This window comes from Homo sapiens, chromosome 1 (assembly GCF_000001405.40).
Source record: "Homo sapiens chromosome 1, GRCh38.p14 Primary Assembly".
Lineage (NCBI taxonomy): Eukaryota > Metazoa > Chordata > Mammalia > Primates > Hominidae > Homo > Homo sapiens.
In genome coordinates this window covers 19,947,243-19,972,967 of record NC_000001.11, presented here as the reverse complement: position 1 = coordinate 19,972,967, position 25,725 = coordinate 19,947,243, and the positions used below count along the sequence as shown (strand labels likewise).

The 25,725-nt window shown below is 46.2% G+C and overlaps 1 pseudogene, besides 2 other annotated features; it reads right to left on the bottom strand.

The window, feature by feature from the left end:
* On the bottom strand, positions 1,699-1,999 carry RN7SL304P (RNA, 7SL, cytoplasmic 304, pseudogene; annotated as a pseudogene).
* Positions 12,173-12,272: an enhancer, noted in NCBI's record as "active region_309". NCBI's record gives its function as "activates an Ori minimal core promoter by ATAC-STARR-seq in GM12878 lymphoblastoid cells {active_cell/tissue: GM12878}" and the evidence as "EXISTENCE:reporter gene assay evidence [ECO:0000049][PMID:35858748]".
* Positions 23,658-23,952: an enhancer, noted in NCBI's record as "tiled region #3300; HepG2 Activating DNase matched - State 9:DNaseU". NCBI's record gives its function as "activates a minimal TATA promoter and a strong SV40 promoter by Sharpr-MPRA in HepG2 cells {active_cell/tissue: HepG2}" and the evidence as "EXISTENCE:reporter gene assay evidence [ECO:0000049][PMID:27701403]".

The following is a 25,725-nucleotide window of genomic DNA, read 5'->3' as shown; positions in this document are numbered from 1 at the left end:
TTTTTCCAACTCTGTCTCAAATCAATACTTTTGTTAAATTAAAAATGTACAAAATACAATCCCAGATGTTTTATTATTGGATGCAATAATAAAATTACTCTGTCAAATTGTTTGAAATTTCCTAACATTCTCAATCTCTGTATGTACCTCCCCAGGAAGGGGAAGCAGTTCACAGACCAGCATCGCCCCATGAACCCCAATTGGGAAATACTGGTCGAATTTGAATTGAGGAAAGACAAATGACCTTAATCATTTTTTTTTTGAGACAGGGTCTCACACTGTCATCCAGGCTGGAGCGCAGTGGCGCAATCACTCACTACAGCCTCCATCTCCTGGGCTCAAGTGATCTTCCCGCCTCAGCCTCCCGAGTAGCTGGGACTACAGGTGTGTGCCATCACACCCAGCTAAATTTTTTATGTTTTTTTTAATGTTTTGTAGAGTTGCGGTCTCACCATGTTGTCTAAGTTGGTCTTGAACCCCTAGGCTCAAACCACCCTCCTGCCTCAGCCTCCCAAAGTGCTGGGATTATAGGTATGAGCCACCATGTCTGGACCTTAATGATTTTAGAATTAGCAGTTTGTTTTCATCCTTTGACTTAGAATAAGTACCATTTATTACAATATAAACAGAGTCATTTTCTTTCCAGCTACCCTCATAGACTGCCAGGGTGAGGTTGGGACCATATTACTCCTCAGTGATTCCTCTTTAGCTTCTAAACAGAGGCGGTGAAAAGCTGCTTGAAATAAAGCCTTAGTCAAATGCTTGCCAGGGGCTTTACCTCCATCTTGATCTACGGAAAAGAAAGATCTAGGAAAAGAGTATACATCTCTCCCTCCAGTAAAGACTTTGCATTTCTGGGTATTTATCTAAGAATATTTTCAACATGAGTCTTTGTGTGCAAAATTTTGAAGGCCTTTTATTCCTGAAAGCATTTTTTACAACCTCACATTGAATAACAATTTCGAAAGATATAATATCCTTGGTTCATTTTTTTTCCATTCTTCCTTATTACCTTAGAAGCATTCCTCCATTTCTTCCAATCCCATTCCAATATTGCTAATAAGAAGTCTGATATTAACCTGACTCATCATCTTTGATTGGATATTTGCTCTTTCCCTCTGGAAGCCTGTAGAATTTCTCTTTGTCTTTGATGTTCTTAATTTTCACTGCAATGTGTCTAGTTGACAGTTTTTCTTTATCTGGCCTTTTTGTACTCTGAAGTCCTTTCACTTGTCTTTAATGATAGGAATTTTATATTCATTATTTCATTGAACATTTCCTTCCTTCTCTTTTTCCTGTCTCTTTCTGGGACTTTTACTATCTGGAAGTTAGTACATCTGTACTCCATATCTCTTTGGATTTTTTTAAGAGATAGAGTCTCCCACCCAGCGTGGTGGCTCATGCCTGTAATCCCAGCACTTTGGGAGGCTGAGGGGGGTGGATCACCTGAGATGGGGAGTTCAAGACCAGCCTAACCAACATGGCAAAACCCCGTCTCTACTAAAAATACAAAATTAGCTGGATGTGGTGGCCTATGCCTATAATCCCAGCTACTCAGGAGACTGAGGCAGGAGAATCGCTTGAACCCGTGAGGCGGAGGTTGCAGCGAGCCGAGATCGTGCCATTGCACTCCAGCCTGGGCAACAAGAGCAAAACTCCATCTCAAAAAAAAACAAAAAACAAAAACAACAAAAAAAAAGAGATAGAGTCTCCCTATGTTGCCCAGGCTGGAGTGCCGCAGCTATTCACAGGTGTGATCCCACTACTGATTAGCACCGGGAGTTTCGACCTGCTCCATTTCCAACCTTGGCCAGTTCACCCCTCTTTATGCCACTTGGTGGTCTCCCACTCCCGCGAAGTCATCATATTGATGCCCAACTTAGTGCGGAACACCCGATCTGCACAGCGCATTATAGCCCAAAACTCCTGGGCTCAAGCAATGCTCCTGCATCAGCCTCCCAAGTGGCTGGGACTACAGGCACACACCACTGCATCTGGTTTGAATTTTCCTTGCTATTTTCTCTATTTTCTTTTTATTCTTTTTCCCTAAGAAGACATCTCAATCTAAGCTTCTAACTCTATCTGTGACATTCTTCAGCTAGCTATTCCATTTCAATGATTATACTCTTCCTAAGTAACTTTTATACTTGGGATTTTTTTAAATAATGATTTGTTCTTGCCTGATATTGCTAACATCTTCCCTTATCTACATAAGTATGTTTAACACGCATATTTTAGTTTCTTGCTCATCCACTCTGGCAATTCTGTTTTAGATGGTATGTGTTGACAAGTACATTTCATCTTTCTAGTGGGTGTAGTCTGGGTGTCTCAAGATAAACTTGGGGAAGGGGAAGGGGATGAGTCCAAGATATGATGATTCTCATTTGCTGCCACCCCAGGCAGGTGCTCCTGCTGACAGGGTTTCATCATTGAACATCTGGGAAGCAGCAGCCCTGGCAGGAAGCAGCACTCCAAAGCTGTTACCGGCCCTCCCTGAGATGGGGCAGGGCGGAAGGGGGAACAGTGCAGGATGAGATGAGGGAATGAATGGCTGAGGGCACTTGAGAAGCCTGCATCCATCTGGGTCAATTGCTTACCCAAGCAGGGCTTTGGGACAGCCCTAACATCATCTCTAGGACTTGGGCATTTCAGCTGTTGCTCTAAGATGAAGACGCAAAAGGAGAAAAAGAACAAAACTTAAAGAGCTTCCTCCCAACCTACTTGCTGCTTGCCAAAGCCCACCAATCCACTGCTCCAAGGCACAGCCAACCCCTCTCCCCGAGAACCACACCCAGCAGCCAAGATCAGATTCTAACTTCCTGCAAGACTCTGCAGAGGTTCTTCTGCTATTTCATCATCCAAGATTCTCTCTCAGGCATGTATCTATTAGGCTGGTTTTGGCACAGGGAGCCGGAGCCTATGCTAATTTGCAAACTTGGCAGAAAACAGGGAAATGTATAGCACAATATCTGTGTACCAGTTTAAAAGCCTCCACAGAGAGTCAAACAAACACTAAACATTTTTCAAGAAACCATATATCTAAATAAACATAGGAAGAATAAATTGGTAGTGGAGATGGAAGATCAAGGACTAAAGTGAATAAAATAAAATTGGTACCTTGCAGAAACCAACAATAACAGAGCGTGATGAAGTGAAGCCGTGGTGCACACAGATTAAGGCTTGGTCAGTTATAAAAGCACTTATCCTTTCACTCAGCAAACCACCTCTGGAAATGTACCCTATCAATGCATGATACATAAGCAGTATGTAAGAGACAGCGTGAGAGTGTATCATGTCTCATGTGTGTAAGAGAGAGAGTGAAGACTCAAACCCACAGCTGTCTCCATCTAAGATCTGGTCTTTCCACCTTGACAGTCAGCTGACAGGCCAGCCAGTTGCACCTCTGGGTCCTAGTTTATACCATTGGACCAGAATGAAATACCCATTTCTCAATTATTGCCTTAGCTTGGCTGGATGAATGATGATCACAGATAATCCAAAAATCACTTATATTTCACTTTTGTCCTCAGTTTTAAGATGGAGATAACTAGCACATCCTGCCTAGTTACTAGGGAAATCAAGCCAGGTCCATACCAGGTGGCAGAGAGATGGTTCTTTGAGAGCAAATGTCTTCTGTAGATGATGGAATAGGAGACTAACCAAGTCAATGAATGAGTGAATGGTAGACTAGAAACCAAGCCTGGTTCACTTTTAGCCCCAGGACTGGCCTAGGGCACAGCAGGATGCTGAGATTGTGAGGTTAAAAGAAACTGGTCTGGGCACAGTGGCTCACACCTGTAATCCCAGCACTTTGGGAGGCCAAGGCAGATGGATCACGAGGTCAGGATCCTGGCCTGGCCAATATGGTGAAACCCCATCTCTTACTAAAAATACAAAAATTAGCCAGGTGTGGTGGTGCGCCCCTGTAATCCCAGCTGCTCGGGAGGCTGAGGCAGGAGAATCTCTTGAACCCAGGAGGTGGTGGTTGCAGTGAGCCAAGATCGTGCCACTGCCCTCCAGCCTGGGTGACAGAATGAGACTCAGTCTCCAAAAAAAAAAAAAAAAAAAAAAGAATCTAATAGGCACATCCTACACCCCACAAAGACTACCCCATGAGCCTGTCAGATCCTCCCATGCCCTTCCACTGTGCCTGGTTCCCACACCACTACCTGGGCCCTCTACCATCCTGTGATAGCGCGTGCCCTCACTTCACCCTAGAGTGCAAGGCTGAGGGATCACAGAGTCCTCTTCAACATCTGGTCCAGATGGCCTGAAGGACTTGAATGTAGAAGGGAAGGGAAGGGAAGGAGCTGCAGTCCCTGCTGCTACAGCTGCCTCCACGGTCTTAACAATACGCATCATCCCCTTCCTCTCCACTCATTTCAGATGTCCTTCCCCCTCCATCAGCACTATAGCTTATTTCTTGCTCCTGTAGCAAACATCACCTTCACTCAATAGGATAAACCTAGGCAGGCAACCCAGATAGATTCTGGAAGTGATTCAGGGTCACTTGAGCAAGAAATCCCAGAGTCGCAGACACTCAGATCATGGTTTAGAAGGGAGACCAAGGGCTCCAGCAGGCACATCCCTTGGCCTAGGAGTCCTCACTCTAGGGGAGACGTCCTGGTTCCCAGGCCCAAGGATGGTGCTGCTGCTTGTCTTAGCTCAAGAATGGCTTCCCGGAGAAAGGCTATGTCTTGAGAAAACATGACCTTTTCTGTAGTCACTTTCCACAAGCACATCTTTAGTTTGATTTCCAACTCTTTTATTTGGCCAGCGAGGCGCTGGGCTGTTATTGGTCTCTGAAGACCTTGGAAACCAAAACCCAGACCGTCTGAGCTTCCCACGTGCTGATGAAACCCAACCCAGGGGACTTTTCAAGGGCAAAGCTATGGATGAATTCCATTCCCTGGAGGGAATAAATTACGTCAACCACTTTATGCAGCATGGATGGATGAAAGAACCAGCTGGCCGACCGAGGGATGTTCCCACTCCTCATGTGGGTCATGACCTGGGAGTAACTTTCATCCAAATGAGAGCACGGTGGAGAAAGGCACTCCATAGCCAGGACGGGACAACATGATGACAACAGCAGCAAAAGCATGCCTTGACTACTCCCACTTACTGGAAAATGGACACTGACTTCATGGCAGGTCCTGGGCCAAGCACTTTAAACGTGTCTTCTCATGCAATCCTCTTAACAATTCTATGATAATATTGCTATTCATATCTTCCATTCATTCATTCCACAGGACATCTATTGAGTACATGCAACATTTCTGGCACAGAACCAGGCACTAAGAACACCCCAAAACCCAAACAGGCAAGGCCCCTGCCTCTTGGCACTTACAAGGCACTGACAGGAACAGACGCAGCCAATAAACAAATTTCGAGAGAGAAAAGAGACAGTAATAAGTAATATAAAGAGAATCAAAACAGCAGAATAGGAGAGGGCAGGTGGAAGACAAGGCATGTATTCAGATGGCATGATCAGGAAAGGTGCTGCAGAGATAGCAAAAGGCACTGGAAGCAAGATCACCCATGATATGAAGGAGTCAGCCCTAAGATAATCAAGGAGAAAATTGATCCAGGCAGAGGGAACAGCTAAGGCAAGCATACAGAGGCAGGTCTGAGCCTGACATATTTGAGGACAGAAAGTAGAAAATTGTACTGCAGAACAGAAATAAGAAACCAAAAGAAGGTGCAGTTAGCAGGCAGGAGAGTGTAGAAAATGTGGAAATCTAGGATGTTTAATGCAGCTTGTGTGTGAGATCTCTTCTCAGGCAGATTACAAAAAGACAAAACAAAAAAACCAATTCTAGGAGTCTGGAATAAAATATGTAAATATATGCTCAGCTAGCTGGAAGCTTTGGGAAAGAGAAAGAAAAGGAAGAGAAGGAGGAGGAGGAAACAGGTGCCTCTGGATCAAACCATACCAGAAAGCCTCCAGTCATTTCCGTTACACATGTCAATAAATTTCTTTTATTATTTACACCAATTTGAGTCAGGTCTTCAGTTGCTTAATATTAAAAGTGTCCAGGCCAGCCATGGTGGCTCACTCATGTAATTCCAGCACTTTGGGAGGCTGAGGTGGGTGGATCACCTGAGGTCAGGGGTTCAAGACCAACCTGGCCAACATGGTGAAACCCTGTCTCTACTAAAAATACAAAAATTAGCCGGACGTGATGGTGCACACCTGTAATCCCAACTACTTGGGAGACTGAGGCAGCAGAATCATTTGAACCCAGGAGGTGGAAGTTGCAGTGAGCTGAGATCACACCATTGCACTCAAAGCCTGGGCAACAAGAGCGAAAATCCATCTCAAATAATAATAATAAAAATAAAATAAAATAAAAGTGTCCAAATTGATTTGTATACATTTTTACATTTAATATTTTTCAACCGCCCTGATGAAGTAGCTATTAGTAACTTCCTTGTATAAATGAAAAAACAGAGGTTAGGAAAGATCAAATAATTAACACAAACTCTTACCTAGTTAATGGTAGTTGGGACTTTACCCCAGAGCTCCAAATACTAGCACCTAATTCCAGTGCTACACTACCTCTGTGAAACCCTGAAATCTCAGAATCTTTCCACACCCTACTATCCAAGTGCATGGACAGAAGACAGAGCCAGGAAGTCCCCCACCAGCTAGGAAAAGAGAAGCCGGGCATGGTGGCTCACGCCTGTAATCCCAGCACTTTGGGAGGCCGAGGCGGGCAGATCACAAGGTCAGGAGTTCGAGACCAGCCTGGCCAATATGGTGAAACCCTGTCTCTACTAAAAGTACAAAAATTAGCCTGGTGTGGTGGTGGACACCTGTAGTCCCAGCTACTATGGAGGCTGAGGCAAGAGAAATTGCTTGAACCCAGGAGGCGGAGGTTGCAGTGAGCCAAGATCATGCCAGTGCACTTCAGCCTGGGCGACAGAGCGAGACTCCATCTCAAAAAAAAAAAAAAAAAAAAAAAAAAAAAAAAAAAAAAAAAAGGAAGAGAGAAGAAAGCTTCACTCCCATGGGCTTGAACTTTCAATTTGCAAAAATTTCCAACATGTACAAAGTAACAAAATCACATTGTGAACTCACCTGTATCCATCAACCAGCTTCAACACTTATCAACATTCAGCCTTCTTTTATCATTTACACCTCCAACCACTCTGCACCTCCAATGAATCATCATCATCATCATTACCTTTAGTTCTTTCTTAAAGGTAAAATATATATAGATTGAAAAGCACAAATCACAGCTGAACACGTTTGAGAAACGGATACACCCACATCACCCACATCCCATCACGAGAACATTTCCGTCTCCCAGAAAATTCCCTCACATCCCTTTCCCCTCAACCCCCTCTCTGGATGAATTAGTCGTCTTGCACTACCATAACAAAGTCCCACAGACTGGGGGAGCTTAAACGATAGCGATTTATTTTCTCACAATCCTGGAAACTAGAAAGCTCAGATCAAGCCATTGGCAGGTTGGTCTCTTCTGAGGCCTCTCTCCTTGGCATACAGATGCTGTCTTACCTTGTGTCTTCACATGGTCTTCTCTCTCAGGTGTCCGTGTCCTAACCTCCTCTTGTTTTAAGGACACCAATCATGCTGCATCAGGACCCACCCTAATGACCTCACTTTAACCTAATCACCGCTTTCAAGGGCTGGTCTCCAAACACAGTCAGATTCTGAAGTACTGGAGGTTAGGACTTCAACATACGGATTTTGGGGAATCACAATTCAGCTTATAACATGGAGAAACCATCATTGTGATTATTTTCACCTTAGTTGCCTGTTTTAGAACTTTCTATCAATTGAATCATATATTAGGTGCACTTTTTTTTTTTTGACAAGGTCCCACTCTGTTGCCCAGGTTAGAATGTAGTGGCGTGATCTCCACCTCCCGTATGTGTACTGTTTTACATCTGGCCTCTTCCATTCAGTATAATGATGATGAGATCCATTCATGGTGTTGCACATGTCTGTAATCTGTTCTTCTTTATTGCTGAGTAGCCTTCCATAGCATGCATATGTTACAATTTATTTATTCATTCTCCTGGTAATGAACATTTTTGCTCTTTTCAGTATTGGGATATTTTGAATAAAACTGCTATGACCATTTCTTATACAAGTATCTGTGTGAACATTAAGTTCTCATTTCTCTTGAATAAATACCTAGGACTGGAAATGTTTACTCAATGGATAAGGGTATGTTTAATGTTACAAAGTCAGATCAAACTTCTTTCCAAAGTGCTTGTCCCATTTTACATTCCCACCAGTAAGGTGTGAGAGTTCCAGTTGCTCCACCATCTGTGCTTTACCTTTTAATGCACAATGACCCATCCACCAGGGGAAAAAAAAAGGCTCAATCAGTATCCTCAAGTCCAACCAATCCGAAGTAACTCTTTCTGTGACAACCTTGGACGGCACCACTCAGCTCTCCCTTCAAATGAGAACCTGTTCAAGGAGTGTACTTAGTGGACAGCCCCAAGCCCATGCTCCTTTGGGATCTGCCACAGTACTCATGACAAAGCCATGTTCTCCAGTGCCGTTCCCATGATGGTGATGACAGGGGACTAGAGCCAGGCAATTGTTTCCCAATGGAGGACTCCTCTAATGGGCACTGTTCACATGAGAACTCCCCGTCAGATTGCTGAGACATTCTCAGAGCTGTGCCACAGTTTGAGCCTCTTCCTACCCAATCCTCCTTCCTTTCCTCTCTCCCTTCAGAGGTGTCAGACCTGCTTCCTGATCTGAACACTCTCTCTCCCTACTCCTCCCTGCCTCCTTTATCTTTTAGAGCTGCTTCCCTCCATACATCTCCTGCACTTCGAACTGTATCTCGGCATCTGCTTCCAGAGGATCCAAACTCACACATCATCTCTTGGGGGAAAGCAAGTAGATGAATGGAAAAAGAAGGAAAATCTTTTAGCTCCCTACCCAAGAAGCCTATAGATCTCCACTTTTCACCCTTCCTTTAGTTAACCAAAAAATAAAACACTGAAATAAGTAGGTTACTTGGGACTGTGACAACTGCCAAGACGGAAACAAACAGGATGATGCGGGAAAGGGTAAAGGGAGGAGGGAAGAGCTGCTCTAACTTGGGCGCCATGGAAGGGCTCCCTGGGGAGGTGACATTTCAGCTGGAAACTGAGAGAAGAGAAAAAAGCCATTGTGAAATAACCTTTTAGGCTTTGAGATTGGAACAGACTCATCTCATTCCAGGAGCAGCAAGAAGGCCAGAGTGGCTGGAGTGAAGCGGGCAACAATGAGTTCTCTTCCTGGCTGTCTTGCTCCCCACTGGATCCTGAAACCCCAGAACAGAGCCAGCCATGCAGTAGGTTCTTGAATAAGTATTTGTGAGATAAATAAGTGAATAAGTGAATGAACATGCCCCCTATCCAGAAACGCGTGCACTCGACACGCCTATCACACATTCCCATGCCCTTACACAATTAGCAATGGAGTTGGTTTATTTCAAAGACAAGTGCAACACGACTAAGGGAGTGGACCTAGAAGCAGAAGGAGGACTGAGACCCCATCCAGAGAGCCTCACACACCCCAGCCACCACTGAGGAGCCAAACCCCTGGGACAGGGAATAGGGGTTCAGCCTGGCTTTGGCCATTCTGTTCTTTGGTGGGACCACATCCTACTCCTGCATGGAGAGGCTGGGGGCAGAAAGGGTTTATGGTGCAGGTGGAGGAAAGAAAGCCTCTGTCCCAGACAAGGCTAGAGAGAAGGGGTGGCACTCAGCACTGAGGAACCAGTTTTCACATAAGAAACTGGGGTAGTTGCACATGGTTTTATTGTAGGTGCCGAGGTTGTCAAAGGAACAGTGGGCAGCCTCTCTGTCACAATCGCAGGCTGCCTCCTGGCAGAAGTCGCCTCTGTCTGAAACCAGAGGAAACAGATATCGGGGGGGGGGGGGTGGGGAGGGAAAGACACTGGTCAGTTTTTATTGCTGGACACCATGAGGAGGGACAGAGGATGGAGGAAACTCACCCCTCACCTCTCAGGCTCCTAGACCCGTGGGTACACCCAGTACCTCCCCTCAGAACCTCCTAACCAAGTGGAGGGCAACACAGTCCCTGGCTTCAGGGAGCTCTCAGTCTGATGAGGGAGACCCAGCCTCTGCCCTCCAGGAACTCTCAGTCCACTGGAGGAGACATGGTCTTTCACCAGGAGTCTCCAAGCCTGATGGTGGAGACACAACTGCAACTTTTGGGGAGCTCCCAATCCAATGGGAGGCACCTGCTGCTCAGAAGGAGCTCTTGATCTGATAGAAGACACGCTCCACACCCTAAGGGAACACAGCCGCTGAACTAGGGGAGCCTCACCCTGATGGAGGAGGCCCTGGAGGTCAGGGAGCAGACCCGTAAGGCTTAGCTCAGAGCTTCATCCTAGACTCTAGATCATCAGCCTCAGACTGAGCAGCTCCTCCAGCAAGCCCCCAATGTCTCTCTTCTCCCCTTCACAATCAAACTCTCTAAAAACAAATTATCTGCATTCACTGCCTCTCTTTCCTCAGCTTCCCATCACCCCTGATTCACAGCAGTCTGGCTTCATCCTCACCACTCCATGAAATGTGCACTCCCCCAGGTTCCTATTGGGCCCAGGTCTCTCCCTCCAGGAGTTCCTTTCCATCATTATCACAGGGATCACGCTGCTATTTCTCACGTTAGTAACCACCCCTGGCTGCTCTAACCCCTCTACCTGCTGATGCCCATGACACAGCTCTCTCCCGTTCCACTCCCACCTTCCTGATTGTTCCTTCTCTGCTGCTTTCTGGGTGCTTAAACGTCACCAAATGGGTCATTTCTTTCCATTTTCTTTGGATGACTCTCCGATCCAGGGTCCCAGCACAGCCCCTCCCAAGAGCTGCAGGTGCATACACCAGATGTCACTGGACATCTCCCCCTGGGGGTCCCATGAGCTCCTTATAGTCAACATGGGTCAACCTGAGCTCATCCAGTCCACACAGCCCCATCTAAGACCTTTTCCCAGGGTCTCATCTGGAGATGCCCCCATCTCCACCCAATCTCCACCCAACTGCCCAAGCTGAGAACATGTTAATCACCTTAACAACCACTCTCCTTCCCCCCCAATCCAGGCACAGGTGCATCCGATTCCCCTGCTGCATATCCATCAGGGCCCTCCCCATTTCATTCCCGCCCCTGTCATCATCGCTCTGATTCTGCCTACTGCATCTCCCTTGGGGTGGGGGGTGGGGGTGAGGGAGTGGGGGTGGGGTGTGGGGTGGGGGTGGGTGGGTTTCTGGCTACTTAAGCCTGTCTAGGCCCTTTTATGACCTAAGGCAGCCCTAGTAGGTTTGTTATCATTTGCGATTGAAAGAGCCCTAACTCATACAGGCTTTTGATGGAACCTCACAAAATGATGGAGACTCAGGGACCCCTCAGACCTGCCACTGCCCTGTGGGTCTCTCTCCTGCCTCCACTCCAGAAAGAGAGAGGTTTGTCCTCTTGATATGGCTCCAATGCGTGGAGGAACTCCAGGTTTTTCCTCTTGAGTGGAATTGGAAAAAGCAACAGGGACACACGTGAAGTTGTTTTTTTTTCTTTTTCTTTCTTTTTTTTCTTTTTTATTTATTTATTTATTTATTTATTTTTTGGTTGAGACAAAGTCTTGCTCTGTCGCCCAGGCTGGAGTGCACTGGCGTGATCTCGGCTCACTGCAAGCCCCACTTCCCGGGTTCACACCATTCTCCTGCCTTAGCCTCCCCAGTAGCTGGGACTACAGGCACCCACCACCATACCCAGCTAATTTTTTGTATTTTTAGTAGAAACGGGGTTTCACTGTGTTAGCCAGGATGGTCTCGACCTCCTGACCTCATAATCTGCCTGCCTCAGCCTCTCAAAGTGCTGGGATTACAGGCGTGAGCCACACGCCGGGCCCTGGTGGAGTTGTTTTAAGGAGCAGAGAGTTTAATAGGCAAGAAAGAAGGGGGAAGAAAGAAGAAGCTTCCCTGTACAGAGAACGGGGTGGGGAGGCTCCAAAGCCTAGAGCAGGAACCCCAAGTGGGGTAGAAACCAGCCAGCTATATATAGAGGCTGGAGGAGGCAGTGTCTGATTTGCATAGGGCTCATTTGCATAGGGATTGGTTTAACCAGGCATGTCATTCATGTAGCCCACGAAAAAACTGGCCCTCTCACCCTAGCCTTTTAATATGCAAATGCAGGGTGCCATGATGTTTTACACATGTAGGGAGGGATATGTATGGGTGGCCATGTTGCCAGGCAAGTGTGGGCCAAGGGCAAGAAGAAGGCGGCAGGAATCGTCATGTTTGGGTGGACCCAGTTTCTAATGGCCTGCATTTGCATATCAAAAGTTGCCATCTCGGCTCTAAGAGCAGGGGCTTTACAAGAAAGGTTTCTGGAGATGCTTTAAAAAACGAAAACTGAGAATGATGGTTTGGGGTGGGGGGGGGGTGGAGGGGGAGGGATAGCATTAGGAGATATACCTAATGTTAAATGACGAGTTAATGGGCGCAGCACACCAACATGGTACATGTATACATATGTAACTAACCTGCACGTTGTGCACATGTACCCTAAAACTTAAAGTAAAAAATAAATAAATTAATTAATTAATTAATTAAAGAAAAAGAAAACGAAAACTTCCCAAGGACCATTTTTCCTCTCAATCTGCCTAAAATAATTTCTTAATAACTCCTACAACCCTCTGGGACAGTGCTTTTGGGATTGTGGCCTTTTTGCTGTCATGTCTTTGTGTCTCTCCACCGCACCTACTCTCACTTCACAAAGACTGGTGTGGTGAGGAGCAAATGGACCTCTCAGATCTGAGCTCTGTCACCCACCCACTGGGCCACCCAGAGCAGGTTCCTGAACTTCTCTGAGTCTCCGATTTCCTATATGAACAGAAGACAGCAACAGCTCATTGACTTGTGGGAATAACACGTGATACCACCCCTTCCCTGGGGAAGGAGGGCGCCTCTAAAGCAGTTGGACTGAGGGGCACATAGGTTGACAGGGGATGGGCTTGCAGGACCTCCTTCTGTTTCCTTCTCACTCAGGCTTTTTGAGAGAGGATACTTGGCACAAAACATGTAATTATGCTATAAGAGGACATGAGAGAGATGGATTTGTCCCATAGATGGTCTGCTCTGAAGTATACAAACATCCACTGCTATGCTCCCAAGACAACACCAGCCTCAGACATGAGGACACGCCTTGTGCTGGCCATGCCACAGGCAGCGGAGGACTGGAATTGGGTAGAAAGGGAGGGAAGGAGGGAGGCTGAGAGGAGGCACCCATGAGGAGACCTCGGAACTGATAAGTGGAGCCCAGCCATGCCCAAAGCAAATCACCTCTAGACTCAAAACACTACTAGACTTGAGCCAGGAGCTGTTAGCAGGGCACCTGCGAGCAGAAGGGTGCCACAGCTGGGTGAGAGTCCCGCCCAACCCTCAGCGAGTTGGAATGTCTTCTCAGCCAGACAAGGACAGCAGAGGGCCAAGTGTGGTGACAGCAGGGATCCTCTCAGAGCAGGGAAGGTTCCTGAATGTGCCAGGCCTCTGAGCCCAAGCCAAGCCATCGCATCCCCTGTGACTTGCACGTGTACATCCAGATGGCCTGAAGTAACTGAAGATACACCAAAGAAGAAAAAATAGCCTTAACTGATGACATTCCACCATTGTGATTTGTTCCTGCCCCACCCTAACTGATCAATGTACTTTGTAATCTCCCCCACCCTTAAGAAGATTCTTTGTAATTCTCCCCACTCTTGAGAATGTACTTTGTGAGATCCACCCCTGCCCGCAAAACATTGCTCTTAACTTCACTGCCTATCCCAAAGCCTATAAGAACTAATGATAATCCACCACCCTTTGCTGACTCTCTTTTCAGACTCAGCCCACCTGCACCCAGGTGAAATAAACAGCCATGTTGCTCACACAAAGCCTGTTTGGTGGTCTCTTCACACGGACGCGCATGAAAGAATGGACGCTTCAACCAAGAACAGGGGTTTCACTTTACAGTCTGAATTGATGAGGAAGGGTGGTCCCCCACCCCTGCTCGGGGAGGTCCTTGCATGAGGTTTCAGGGCAGAAGAGGACTGTTGGGGAGTGGTGCTCCCCCCTGCACCAGGCAGCGGGCAGTGTTTGCAAGGAGGCAGTGTTTGCAAGCACCTGATTAAATCTTTCTTCCTTGGCAATACTTGTCATCTCAGTGATAGGCTTTCTGGATGAAGAACAATGTACCAAGTTCAACTCACCACGGAGCCAGAGCTCCGTCATAGTTGGGAGTGGTGAATCTCACTGGGTTTCCTTCTCGCTGGAGGAAGGAAAGTTCCTTGAATGGGATACAGCAGAGATGACAGGACGACGTCAACCAGCCTGAGACCAGGTTCCACCCACAAGTGGCACTGCCTGCACTGTGAACCCCTAGGCTTGAACAACTGGGGACTCGTGGGAGATGTAGGGCAGGTATCAGGGCAAGAAAAACTTGCCTCCTTAAGGATCAAACACCCTTCAGAGAAGCTACAGCCATGGAGACTATGGTAGACTGAATATCCCAAAGATACCTACTTCCTAATCCCTGCAACCTGTGAAGGTAACCTTCTGTGACAGAAGGACTTTGCAGATATGATCAAATCAAGGAATTTGGGATAGGGAGATTATCCTGGATTATCCAGGTAGGCCCTAAATGTAATCACAAACTCCAGAGGGAGTGCGGCCCTGCCTATACCTTGATCCGCACACAGCAAAACTGATTTTTGGATTTCTGACCTCCAGAGCTGTAAGATAATAAATGTGTGTTATTTTAAACCACCGAGTTTGTGGGAGTTTGTTTTACAGGCCTGGGCAACTAAGAGATAGACACACAAATTGGATTAAGGAGATCCTGGAAGACTGGGAAGGAGGTGGGAGATGTCTGCCGGCACAAGGGCAGGCCTTGGGCAGGGAGAAGCTGAAGGAAGTGGAAGCCAGGCCTCCTGGTGGATGGGTAGGGATTGCGGGACAGGCCAGGGAAGCAAGCTGAGAGCCTGCAGGACCAGGAATGTCCCTGCCCCATGCTCAAATCCTTGAGAGGTCCAAGGTCCACAAGAACCTCAGTGCTGTGGGAGTTGATTTGAGTGGAAAAAGAGAAAATCAAGGTAATCAAGAATCAGATCCAGGGAAGCAAACAGGAGAGCACGTGGTGGTGAGATGGCATTTGGAACCAGGTTTGTATTCAAATGTTCAAGGAGAGCAGGAAGAGTGGATGAAAAGTACCAGCTCCAAGACCAGTGCCTTCCCTGTGCATAGTTGAGCCGACTCCTAACAGCTTAGTGTCTGGGAACAGTCACTCAGAATGACATGTGTAAGGGAAGGTGGTGTTAACACCTGGGGAAATTCCTGGACTAGCTGCTCAGAGATTGGGCCTTGCTGAGAATTTTGGAAGTACTGCAACCATGACTGGAGGTGAACTGGCCAGTGCTTTTGCAACTGCACCAAGTTCTACTGGGTGCTGAGCCAGAAATCCCCCAAATTTGGGAATGGTGAATCTCGCTGGGTTTCCACCTCAGGTGTTTCCTCTCTTCCATTACACAGCCAGGTTCCTTCACCCTCCACTACCTCCTTAAAGAACTGGGGGAAATCCACCCAACCCAAGGTCTGCCTTGGGCCAGAGCCAGATAAACAGGCAAGCTGTGAGCCAGGCCAGAGAGGATCTCCCACCTACCACTCAGGGACAAGGAGTTAGGGGTGGATGGAGGGACACTGGTAGTGGGGGGACACAACACCTGTGGTGGGAACCCAGTGACATCTTTGGCAGACTTAAGGCAGCTGCTCAGTAGTTCTGGGAATTGGCAAGCCCCCTCCCTTAGACCTTTATTTGAGCCCATACCCAAGACCAGAATGAAAACAAAGCAAGTATGGCAAAAGGAGCAAAACAGGAGGCAGATTTTGTGTTCAGTGGAGCACAGTTTAATTCATAACCTGTGAGAGTGAAATGTTGTTTTCATTATTATGCTTTCAATATTCTGCAGTATTAAAAAGTCCACATTTATATGAGAGTTGTTTAGAATTATTTTTCCAAGAGGTTGGGGGATTGCCTTTCTTACTTCATTAGTTTTTACTGTTTCTTATTGTGTTATAAACCAAATCGGTACTATTTCTACTTTTTTTTTAATTGATTCTTTCTTTGAGTCCCACACACACTTGACTAGAAGGACTAACCTGTATTTACAGGGCACAGATTCAGACCTATTAGCTTCCTTCAATAAACACCTGTTGAGCACCTATTATGTTCCAGCTTGTTCAAGATTAATGTCGGATAACTCAGACGTCTGGGCCGGGCACAGTGGCTCATGCCTGTAATCCCAGCACTTTGGGAGGCTGAGGCAGTCAGCCCAGCCTGGCTAACGTGGTGAAACCCCATCTCTACAAAAAAATACCGAAAAAAAAAAAAAAATTAGCCAGCTACTCAGGAGGCTGAGGCACGAGAATTGCTTTAACCCAGGAGGTGGAGGTTGCAGTGAGCCGAGATCTGCCACTGCACCCCAGCCAGGGTGACAGAGCGAGACTCCCATCAAAAAAAAAAAAAGATAACAGAGATGTCTGTCCAAGATTCCTGCCCTGGGGTGATGGGTGGGTGTGGGCAGGAGGGGGAAGACAGTCGATGAACAATAAACATAACAAATAAGTAAATTATATAGTACTTTAGAAGGTGATAAATGCTATGGGGAAAGTACCACAGGTTAAGAGGAAAGGGAGTTGCAGGAGGGGTTTTAATTGTAAATAGGGTTAGGGTTAGGGAGGGCCTCATTGAGAAAGTGGCGTTTGAACTAACATTGAAGGACATGAGGGTGTCAACCACACAGATATCTGGGTGAAGAGCCAGCCAAGAAGAGGGAACAATGGATGCAGGGCAGGTTCTTGGCTTTGCTCAGGAAGGAATTAAAGAGCGAGCTGGTGGTGGAAGAAAACAACTTTATTGAGGCAGCAGCGTTACAGCTCTGCGATTGCTCCACAGCAGGGTTACCCCACAGGAAGAGTGTGGAGAGGAGCAGCCCAGGGACAGTTTTGCAGTCGTATTTATACCCACTTTGAATGACATGCTAATTAAGGGGCAGTTATTCAGAATTAGCTAGAAAAAGGGCGGTAACTTCCAGGTGTTGCCAAATTGTCTTGGGGCTGGTGGGCGTGTCTTACAGAGAGGTGTTTTCCATGCCTCTTTCCAGTTTTGGCCAGTCTTCAGTCTGGTCTGAAGTTGGGTCCCTCCGCCTCACAACCGGTGCTGAGGAAGGCTGGGGCGTGCCTGGCATGTTCAAGGACCGGCCAGGGGACTACAGTCCTGCCGCAGGGTGAGCAACAGGATGCAGCAGGGAAAGAAAACAGGGTGTCTGACAATGTGGGGCCTTATTGATCACTAGAAGACTTTTGTCTCTGAGAGAATGGGACCCTCTGCAACACTTTGAGCAAAGTGACAAAGATGTGACACACTAACTGTGATCATGCTGGCTGATGCATTGAGAAGAGATGCTAGGAAGCCAAGGCAGAAGCGAGGGAGGAGGAGCTTATAGCAGTGATACCAGCGAGGGATGGTGGAGGCTCTCACAAAGTGGCAGCTGTGGAGGCAGGGAGAGGTGGTCAGTCTCTGGATATAATGTGATGGGAAAGCCAACAGGACCTGCTGACACTGAATACAGAGTGTGTGAGAGAGAGAGCAATCAAGGATGACTCCAAGGTTTTTAGCCTGAGCAAGTGGAAGCAGAAATTGCCATCAACTGAGATGGGAAAGGTGGAGTGAAGCAGTCCTGTGGGGGCAGATCAGGAGTTCATTTTTGGTTGTGTTGGGTTTGAGATGCTTATTATTAGACGTCCAAATGAGGATGTCAGGTAGACAGTTGAATAAGTGCATCTTGAGTTAGCTGAGCTGCAGGGATTAACTTAGGAGTCATCAGCCAATAGATGGTTTGTATAACCATGAGAGTTGAAAACATCGCTAAAAGAGTAGAAGAAGATAAAAGGTCCAAGGACAGCCCTGGGACACCACCCTGGGCAGAGGCTGGGAAGGAAGAGAAGAAGCCAGGAAGAGAGGGAGGAAGGCAGGAGATTGAAAGGTCCTGGAAGTGGAGACAAGTCATGGCAATGGGTCAAGGAGGAGGAAGGAGCAGCGTGTTCAATACTGCTGATAGGTTCAGTAAGATGAGACTTGAGAGGCAGGCACTGGACTGACAATGTGGTGGTCATTGGTGATCTTCAGAAGAGCCATCATAGCAAAGTTCTGGAAGGAGATTGAAGGATAGGAGTGTGTGTCTCAGTGAAGGTCTAGATCAAAAAAAGGTGGCCCCTTCAAATTGGGTAACTCAGGGAGACTTTGATAAAGGGACTTTTGGCAAAGGTGTGGGCAGGCATAGGGAAAATCCCAAGGAATTGAAACTGACCCAACAGCCCCATAGACAGATCTTTCAAATAAACATATCCAAAAGATAAACATGACCTTTCTGATCTTAAAGATGGAAATGTATATTTGTTTTTTCTGAGTTCCTTCCTCAGGAAAGAACCTTTAGGTCTCTAAGCAAAAAAGTATCAGAGAGCTGAAACCAGATCACCACATTCAAACAAGGAGACTCTGGACCCCTCATTCCTTATGACTACTTCCTTGCCCCTCCCTAGTTCCTGTTTTCTTACACATTGTTACATTTCTTCCCTGCTACATAAACCCCTGGTTATAGATGGTCAAGGAGGTGGATTTGAGACTGAGTTTTCATCTCCTTGGCTGCAGCACCCGATTAAATCCTTCTTCCTTGGCAATACTTGTCATCTCAGTGATTGGCTTTCTGTTTGGCGAGCAGCAGGACCTACATCAAACCCCTGGTGTTTCAGTAACAGAATTTCTAACAGTGTGGTAGATGTTACCATTGCCAAGCCTGAAAAGTCAAGGGAAGGAAATGGCTACTGGAATGCAGAGAGAGTGGTGAGGACAGACACAGAAACTGTGAATTTGAGTGGATGGACACAAACAGCCCACAGCAAGACCCCTCTGTGGGAGGGGTCCAGGGAAATAAATGTGCCAGTCTCATGCTCCTCCCTCCATCTGATTCCCCTGATGGTCCTTCCTGTTGCCAAACCCAACCAGGAGCCAAAGGGCAAGGGGACCTGTAGATGCAGTGATGCAGATCAGCCTCCTGGGATGCACACAAGGCAGGTGGAGCAGGGTGGGGAGCAGAGTTGGGAGGCCACATGGAGACTATCTGGGACAGAGTAGTTTTGAGAGAATGGTGTTTGCTGTGATTATGATGAATTTTAAGGCATTTCACCAATATTGTTTACTGTGCCCAGTATGTGCAATGGCTACAAGAGAAAGAGGTATACAATTATGATGGAAAGGAAAAGAACAATATTTTTTTAATCGGAAATGATAGGATCATGAGAAATGTTACCTGTTTCTATAGGATGAATCTTTCAACAGAATGTTTCTAAGGAACAAATTGTATAACAAGAAAAGAACATGGTGGTGCCAACCAGAAAGAGAAGCCCTCACCCTCTGTCCTCAAACTCCCTCCTCCCATTTGACCCACACTCTCCTGTCTTTTCTCCCACCTCCCTGGCCATTCCTTCTCTGTCTCCACTGCAGACCTCCTCCTCTACTTGACCTCAGATCCCCCAGGCTTGGCTCTTGGTCCTAGTCTCTCCCAATATACCCTCTTACAAGGTGGAATGTGGACACAAAGGCTGGCACTCCAGCAACTATATTGAACCATGAGGTACTATACTCAGAATGGCACAGCAGCAAGTTAGAGGACACCTGTCCTTGATGATTGTGGACTCACTTTTACACTCAAGACTGTCTACTTCCAGATATCTGTGAGAGAGAAATAAACTTCCATCTTGTTTAAGCCACCATCATGTTTTATTTTTATCATTCACAGCTGAACCTAATCCTGATAATACTGCCACCAAACCAAAGCTGAAAATTAATCCCACATTCTATTTCCAATTTCTAATTCAGCCAGTTTCATTTCAGCCTCATTGTCTGGTACAGCCTATCAGAGGTTCTGTGATGAGTTCAAATGAATCAGAAGGATGCTCCAAAAACCAGTTTCAACAATGTGCCCTGCATTTGAATATAAACTTTCTCCCATTACCAAATTCTCAGGAAGTAAAGTCTGAGAATTGCTCTAATCATTTATTCTAAAATGCATATCTTTTCCTCATTTTAACGTCTCTGCAATCTGGATGCATCTTAAAATCGATGTCATCTTACAATTGTCTGACAGGTAGCATTTGTGACCTAGTTTTGTGAAAAACCTTCCATTGATCCTTCAGATAAGATTTTTTAAAAACCAACATGAAAGCATATGAGATTAAAGAAAACAGGGGTATATTACCTTGCAAACTGAAATCCAAGGGGATTATGACCCAAAATTTATTCTCCCCAATTTCAATTCTAGCTAGAGGATTATAGATGCCTGGTCATCAAGATCTCATTTTCCATTTTATGTGTCTGATCAGTCCTCTAACATCTCAACCTTTCTCCTAAGGCAGTGGTTCTCCAACTTGAGCAAGCATCGGAATTACACGGAGCCTTGTAAAAAATATTTCCAGGGCCCAATCCCTGGAGTTTCTAATTCAGTAAGTGTGGGGTGGGGCCTAAAAATCTGCATTCTCACAAGTTCCCAGGTAATGCCAGTACTACTGGTAGGGGACTACATTTTGAGAACCACTATTCTAAGGAAATCTCTTCTATCTTCCTTTATTTTGTTTTTCTCCTTTTCAGATTCTAAAAACCACAAAAACAAAAACTGAGCCACACTTCTGAAATAATTTGGGTTCCTGGTTCCTTTTTAAATTCCCTGTGCAATCTTGATCCCTAGAGACAAAGTGCTGTATTACAAAATGCAAGCCACTCTAATTGCCTTCTTAAGCCTCGAGTCAACAGTAATTGGATTGCATCATTTCTATACCTTAATATAGGTAAACGGCATGTTATAGTTATAATAAGAGTGCCCATTCCTTTTTTCCTTTTTTCTTTCCTTCTTTCCTTCCTTCCTTCCTTCCTTCCTTTCTTCTTCTTTTTTTTTTTTTTTTGAGAAATAGTATCTTGCCTTGTTGCCTAAGCTACAATCACAGCTCACTGCAGCCTTGACCTCCTGGGCTCAAGCAATCTTCCCACCTCAGCCTCCGGAGTAGCTGGGACTATAGGCACACATCACTAAACCCAGTTAATTTTTTTTTCTTTTTTGTAGAGATGGGGCCTTGCAATGTTGCCTAGGCTGGTCTTGAACTCCTGGGCCCAAGTGACCCTTCCGCCTTGGCCTCCCAAAGTGCTAGGAGTGCAGGCATGAGCTACCGCACCCAGCCTTCTTTTTCATTTTTTCTCTGTTATAAAATGTACCATCCTTCCATGAGTGAGTCCAACATTTGGCTATGATATGACTTCTATAACTAAGAAATCCAGAGCCAAATTAAGACTTTGAGTGGAACTGCCCACATGTAGATATGCCATCTAAACTCAAGGCTGATCCCTCCATAGCTGGCTTTTTCAACCTCACCACTATTGACATTTGAGGCTTGATCATTCTTGTTGTGCGGTGGTTGGCCTGGGCACTGTAGGATGATTTGCAACATCCTGGCCTGCACTCACTGGATGCCAGCAGTATCCTCCCAGTTGCAACAAATACATCTCCATACATTGCCAATGTCCTCTGGGGGCCAAAATCACCCCTGATTGAAAACACTGCTCTACAGTTGGGTCTCTTGACTGACGCCACTCAAAACAATGTAAAAGAAATGGAATTCAGGCAGTTCCTCTATACCAACTACACAGGCTTTTAATGCCAAACACTGAAACCCCAGGGGTCTAGAGCAGCACTTCTCAAAATTTAACATGCCGGAAAGTCACCCAGGGAATCTTGTTAAAATGCAGATCCTGATTCAGGAGGTCTATGGGAGGACCTACCTGGGTACTCAAAGTGTGGTCCACATCTTAGTTCCCAACACAGATCGAATGAATCAGAATCTGCATTGTAAGAAATCCCCATTAAAGTTTGAGAAGCGCTCACACCTGTAATCCCAGCAATTTGGGAGGCCGAGGTGGGTGGATCACGAGGTCAAGAGTTTGAGATCAGCCTGGCCAAGATGGTGAAATCCCATCTCTACTAAAAAAAAAATACAAAAATCAGCTGGGTGCGGTGGCAGGAGCCTGTAATCCCAGCTACTCGGGAGGCTGAGGCAGGAGAACTGCTTGACCCTAGGAGGCAGAGATTGCAGTGAGCCGAGATTGCACCACTGCACTCTAGCCTGGGCGACAGAGCAAGATTCTGTCTCAAAAAAAAAAAAAAAGTTTGAGAAGCAGGCTGGGCATAGTGGCTTACGCATATAATCCCAGCATTTTGGGAGGCCGAGGCAGGCGGATCACCAGAGGTCAGGAGTTCGAGACCAGCCTGGCCAACATACTGAAACCCTACCTCTACTAATAATACAAAAAATTAATCGGGCATGGTGGCAGGTGCCTGTAATCCCAGCTACTCAGGAGGCTGAGGCAGGAGAATCGCTTGAACCCAGGAGGTAGAGGTTGCAATGAGCCAAGGTCGCACGCAACCTTGCACTCCAGCCTGGGCGACAAGAGCAAAACTCCATCTCAAAAAAAAAGTTTGAGAAGCACTGCTCTATACAGTGGTGAAGCCTAAGTCCTGGCCTGCAGACGTGGCTGAAGAAACAGGAAATGCAGCAAACCATTGTGCCCCCAGTGTCTGCAGGACTTGCATACAGGAAGCCCCTCTCTCCTCCCATAATGAATCTTTGCCTCCCCTGTGCACGCTGCCTGAAGCCCCCATGGCCCTCTGGCATCTGCTAACCCCAGATATCCCCTGCAGATGTGCAAAGGCCAGTTCCTTGCAGTTCCAGGTCAACTTGCAGTAACCTACAAATTTAGGCTTGCATGGCCCATGACTCTGCTGGATCCTGGTGCTCGCGTTTTGCTAAGTCCCTCCGCATGAAGCTGCCTGTGTCTGATGAGATTGTCACTTGCATCCCCACCTGTATGGGAACAGCAGCTTACTTCAAATGTCACTTCTATTTTGCTTCCTTAGCTCTACTCATGTGTTTTTTTAAGTTCCTAGCCAATACATCAGATTTGGGGTCTGGAGGCAACGTCATTAGAAAATACCTTTTTTCCCTGCCCATTTTTTTTCTCTTTTCTGTTTTTTTTTCTTTTTTTTTACTTTCTTTTTTCTCTTTTGAAAAATTTTTTGTTTGTTCATTGTTTTCTTTTACTTTTTTCTGAGACAGAGTTTTGCTCAGTCACCCAGGCTGGAGTACAGTAGTGTGATCTCGGCTCACTGTAACCTCAGCCTGCTGGGTTTAAGTGATTCTCATGCCTCAGCCTCCCGAGTAGCTGGGATGACAGGCATGCGCCACCACACCCAGCTTTTTATTTTTATTTTTTTATTTTTTGTATTTTTAGTAGAGAGAGGGTTTCACTATGTTGGCCAGGTTGGTCTCGAACTCCTGGCCTCAAGTGATCTGCCCGCCTCAGTCTCCCAAAGTGCGAGGATTACAGGCTTGAGCCACCATGCCTGGCTGTTTGTTTTTTATGCCTGCCCATATTTTTGACCAATTAAAAGACAAAAGAATCAATCAGGTAGAGCTCAAATTATTTCTGATTTTTAAAAACATCAATTAGGGCTAAATTGGAGGATGTAGCTTGTGACTATGGAAACAATGAGCTTCCTAACTCCACACCCCGAATTGGATGACTAACCTACTTAGTCATGGGCAATGCTGAACAACCGGAGGGCCAGAGCCTTTGCAGCTAAGCTGGCCACCCAGCCAGAAGCAGACCAGAGCACATGCCCTCAGCAGGCAGGCAGCACTCAAACAGGAAGGAGAGAGAGGGGCTGAACTGGACATGCCCAGTTTCTTCTCCTAAACTTGTCAATCAGGAAGACTCTTCCAGAGAAGAATGAGGGAATGGATGGAGGGAGATCAGGAGTGTTACACAACGGATGCTCCATACGTCAGAAACAAACAACAGGAACAGAGCATAAGCATTCCCCCATAAGAATGCCCATCCTTTTCAGTAACATGAAACAATCTACTTAGAAAATTTTTTTTAACTTTTATTTTAGGTTCAGGGGTATATGTGCAGGTTTATCATATAGGTAAACTCATGTCACAGGGGTTTGATGTACAGCTTATTTCATCACCCAGGTACTAAGCCTAGTACCCAATAGTTATATTTTCTGCTCCTCTCCCTCCTCCAAACCTTTACCCCTAGTAGGTCCCAGTACCTGCCTTTCCCTTCTTTGGGTCCATGTGTTCTCATCATTCAGCTCCCACTTATAATAAGTGAGAACATGCAGCATTTGAACAAATGGGATCTGATTAAACTAAAAAGCTTCTGCACAGCAAAAGAAACTATCAACAGAGTAGACAGACAATCTACAGAATTGGAGAAAATATTCGCAAAGTACGCATCTGACAAACATCTACTATCCAGCATCTATAAGAAACTTTAACAAATTTACAAGATAAAAACAACACCTGCCGGGCGCGGTGGCTCACGCCTGTAATCCCAGCACTTTGGGAGGCCGAGGCAGGCAGATCACAAGGTCAGGAGATCGAGACCATCCTGGCTAACACGGTGAAATCCCATCTGTACTAAAACTACAAAAAATTAGTTGGGCGTGGTGGTGGGTGCCGGTAGTCCCAGCTACTCGGGAGGCTGAGGCAAGAGAATAGCATGAACCCGGGAGGCAGAGCTTGCAGTGAGCCGAGATAGCGCCACTGCACTCCAGCCTGGGCGATAGAGCGAGAATCTGTCTAAAGAAAAAAAAAAAACCATTAAAAAGTGGGCAAAGGACATGAAAAGACACTATTCAAAAGAAGACATATATGTGGCCAGCAAGTGTATGAAAAAAGGCTCAACATAACTAATCATTAGAGAAATGCAAATCAAAACCACAGTGAGATACCATCTCACACCAGTCAGAATGGCTATTACCAAAAAGTCAAAAAATAAGGCCAGGTGGCTCACGCCTGTAATCCCAGCACTTGGGGAGGCCAAGGCAGGTGGATTGCTTGAAGTCAGGAGTTCAAGACCAGCCTGACCAACATGGTGAAACCCTGTCTCTACTAAAAATACAAAAATTAGCCGGGCATGGTGGTGCATGCCTGTAATCCAGCTACTCAGGAGGCTGAGGCAGGAGAATCACCTGAACCCAGGAGGCGGAGGTTGCAGTGAGCCAATATCGCACCACTGCACTCCAGCCTAGGTGACAGCGATATTCCATCTCAAAATAAATAAATAAAGAATGCTGGGCATGGTGGCTCATGCCTGTAATCCCAGCACATTGGGAGGCCAAGGAGGGTGGATCACTGGAGGTCAGGAGTTCGAGACAAGCCTAGCCAACATGGTGAAATCCCATCTCTACTAAAAATACAAAACATTAGCTGGGCATGGTGGTGCCTGCCTGTAACCCCAGCTACTTGAGAGGTCGAGACAGGAGAATCGCTTGCACTCAGGAGGCAGAGGTTGCAGTGAGCTGAGATCGTGCTACTGCACTTCAGCCTGGGCATCAGAGTGAGACTCTGTCTCAAAAAAAAAAAAAAGTCAAAAAGTTGAGGTTGCAGAGAAAAGAAGTATTTATCTTTCCAATGTTTGAAAGAAAGTCTCCAGTGAGGCCAGATTCTGGTGCCACGTGCCTTTTTATCAAAAATATTCAGTAATTTTTCTTTTTTCTTCTGTTAACATATTTAGGAGCATAT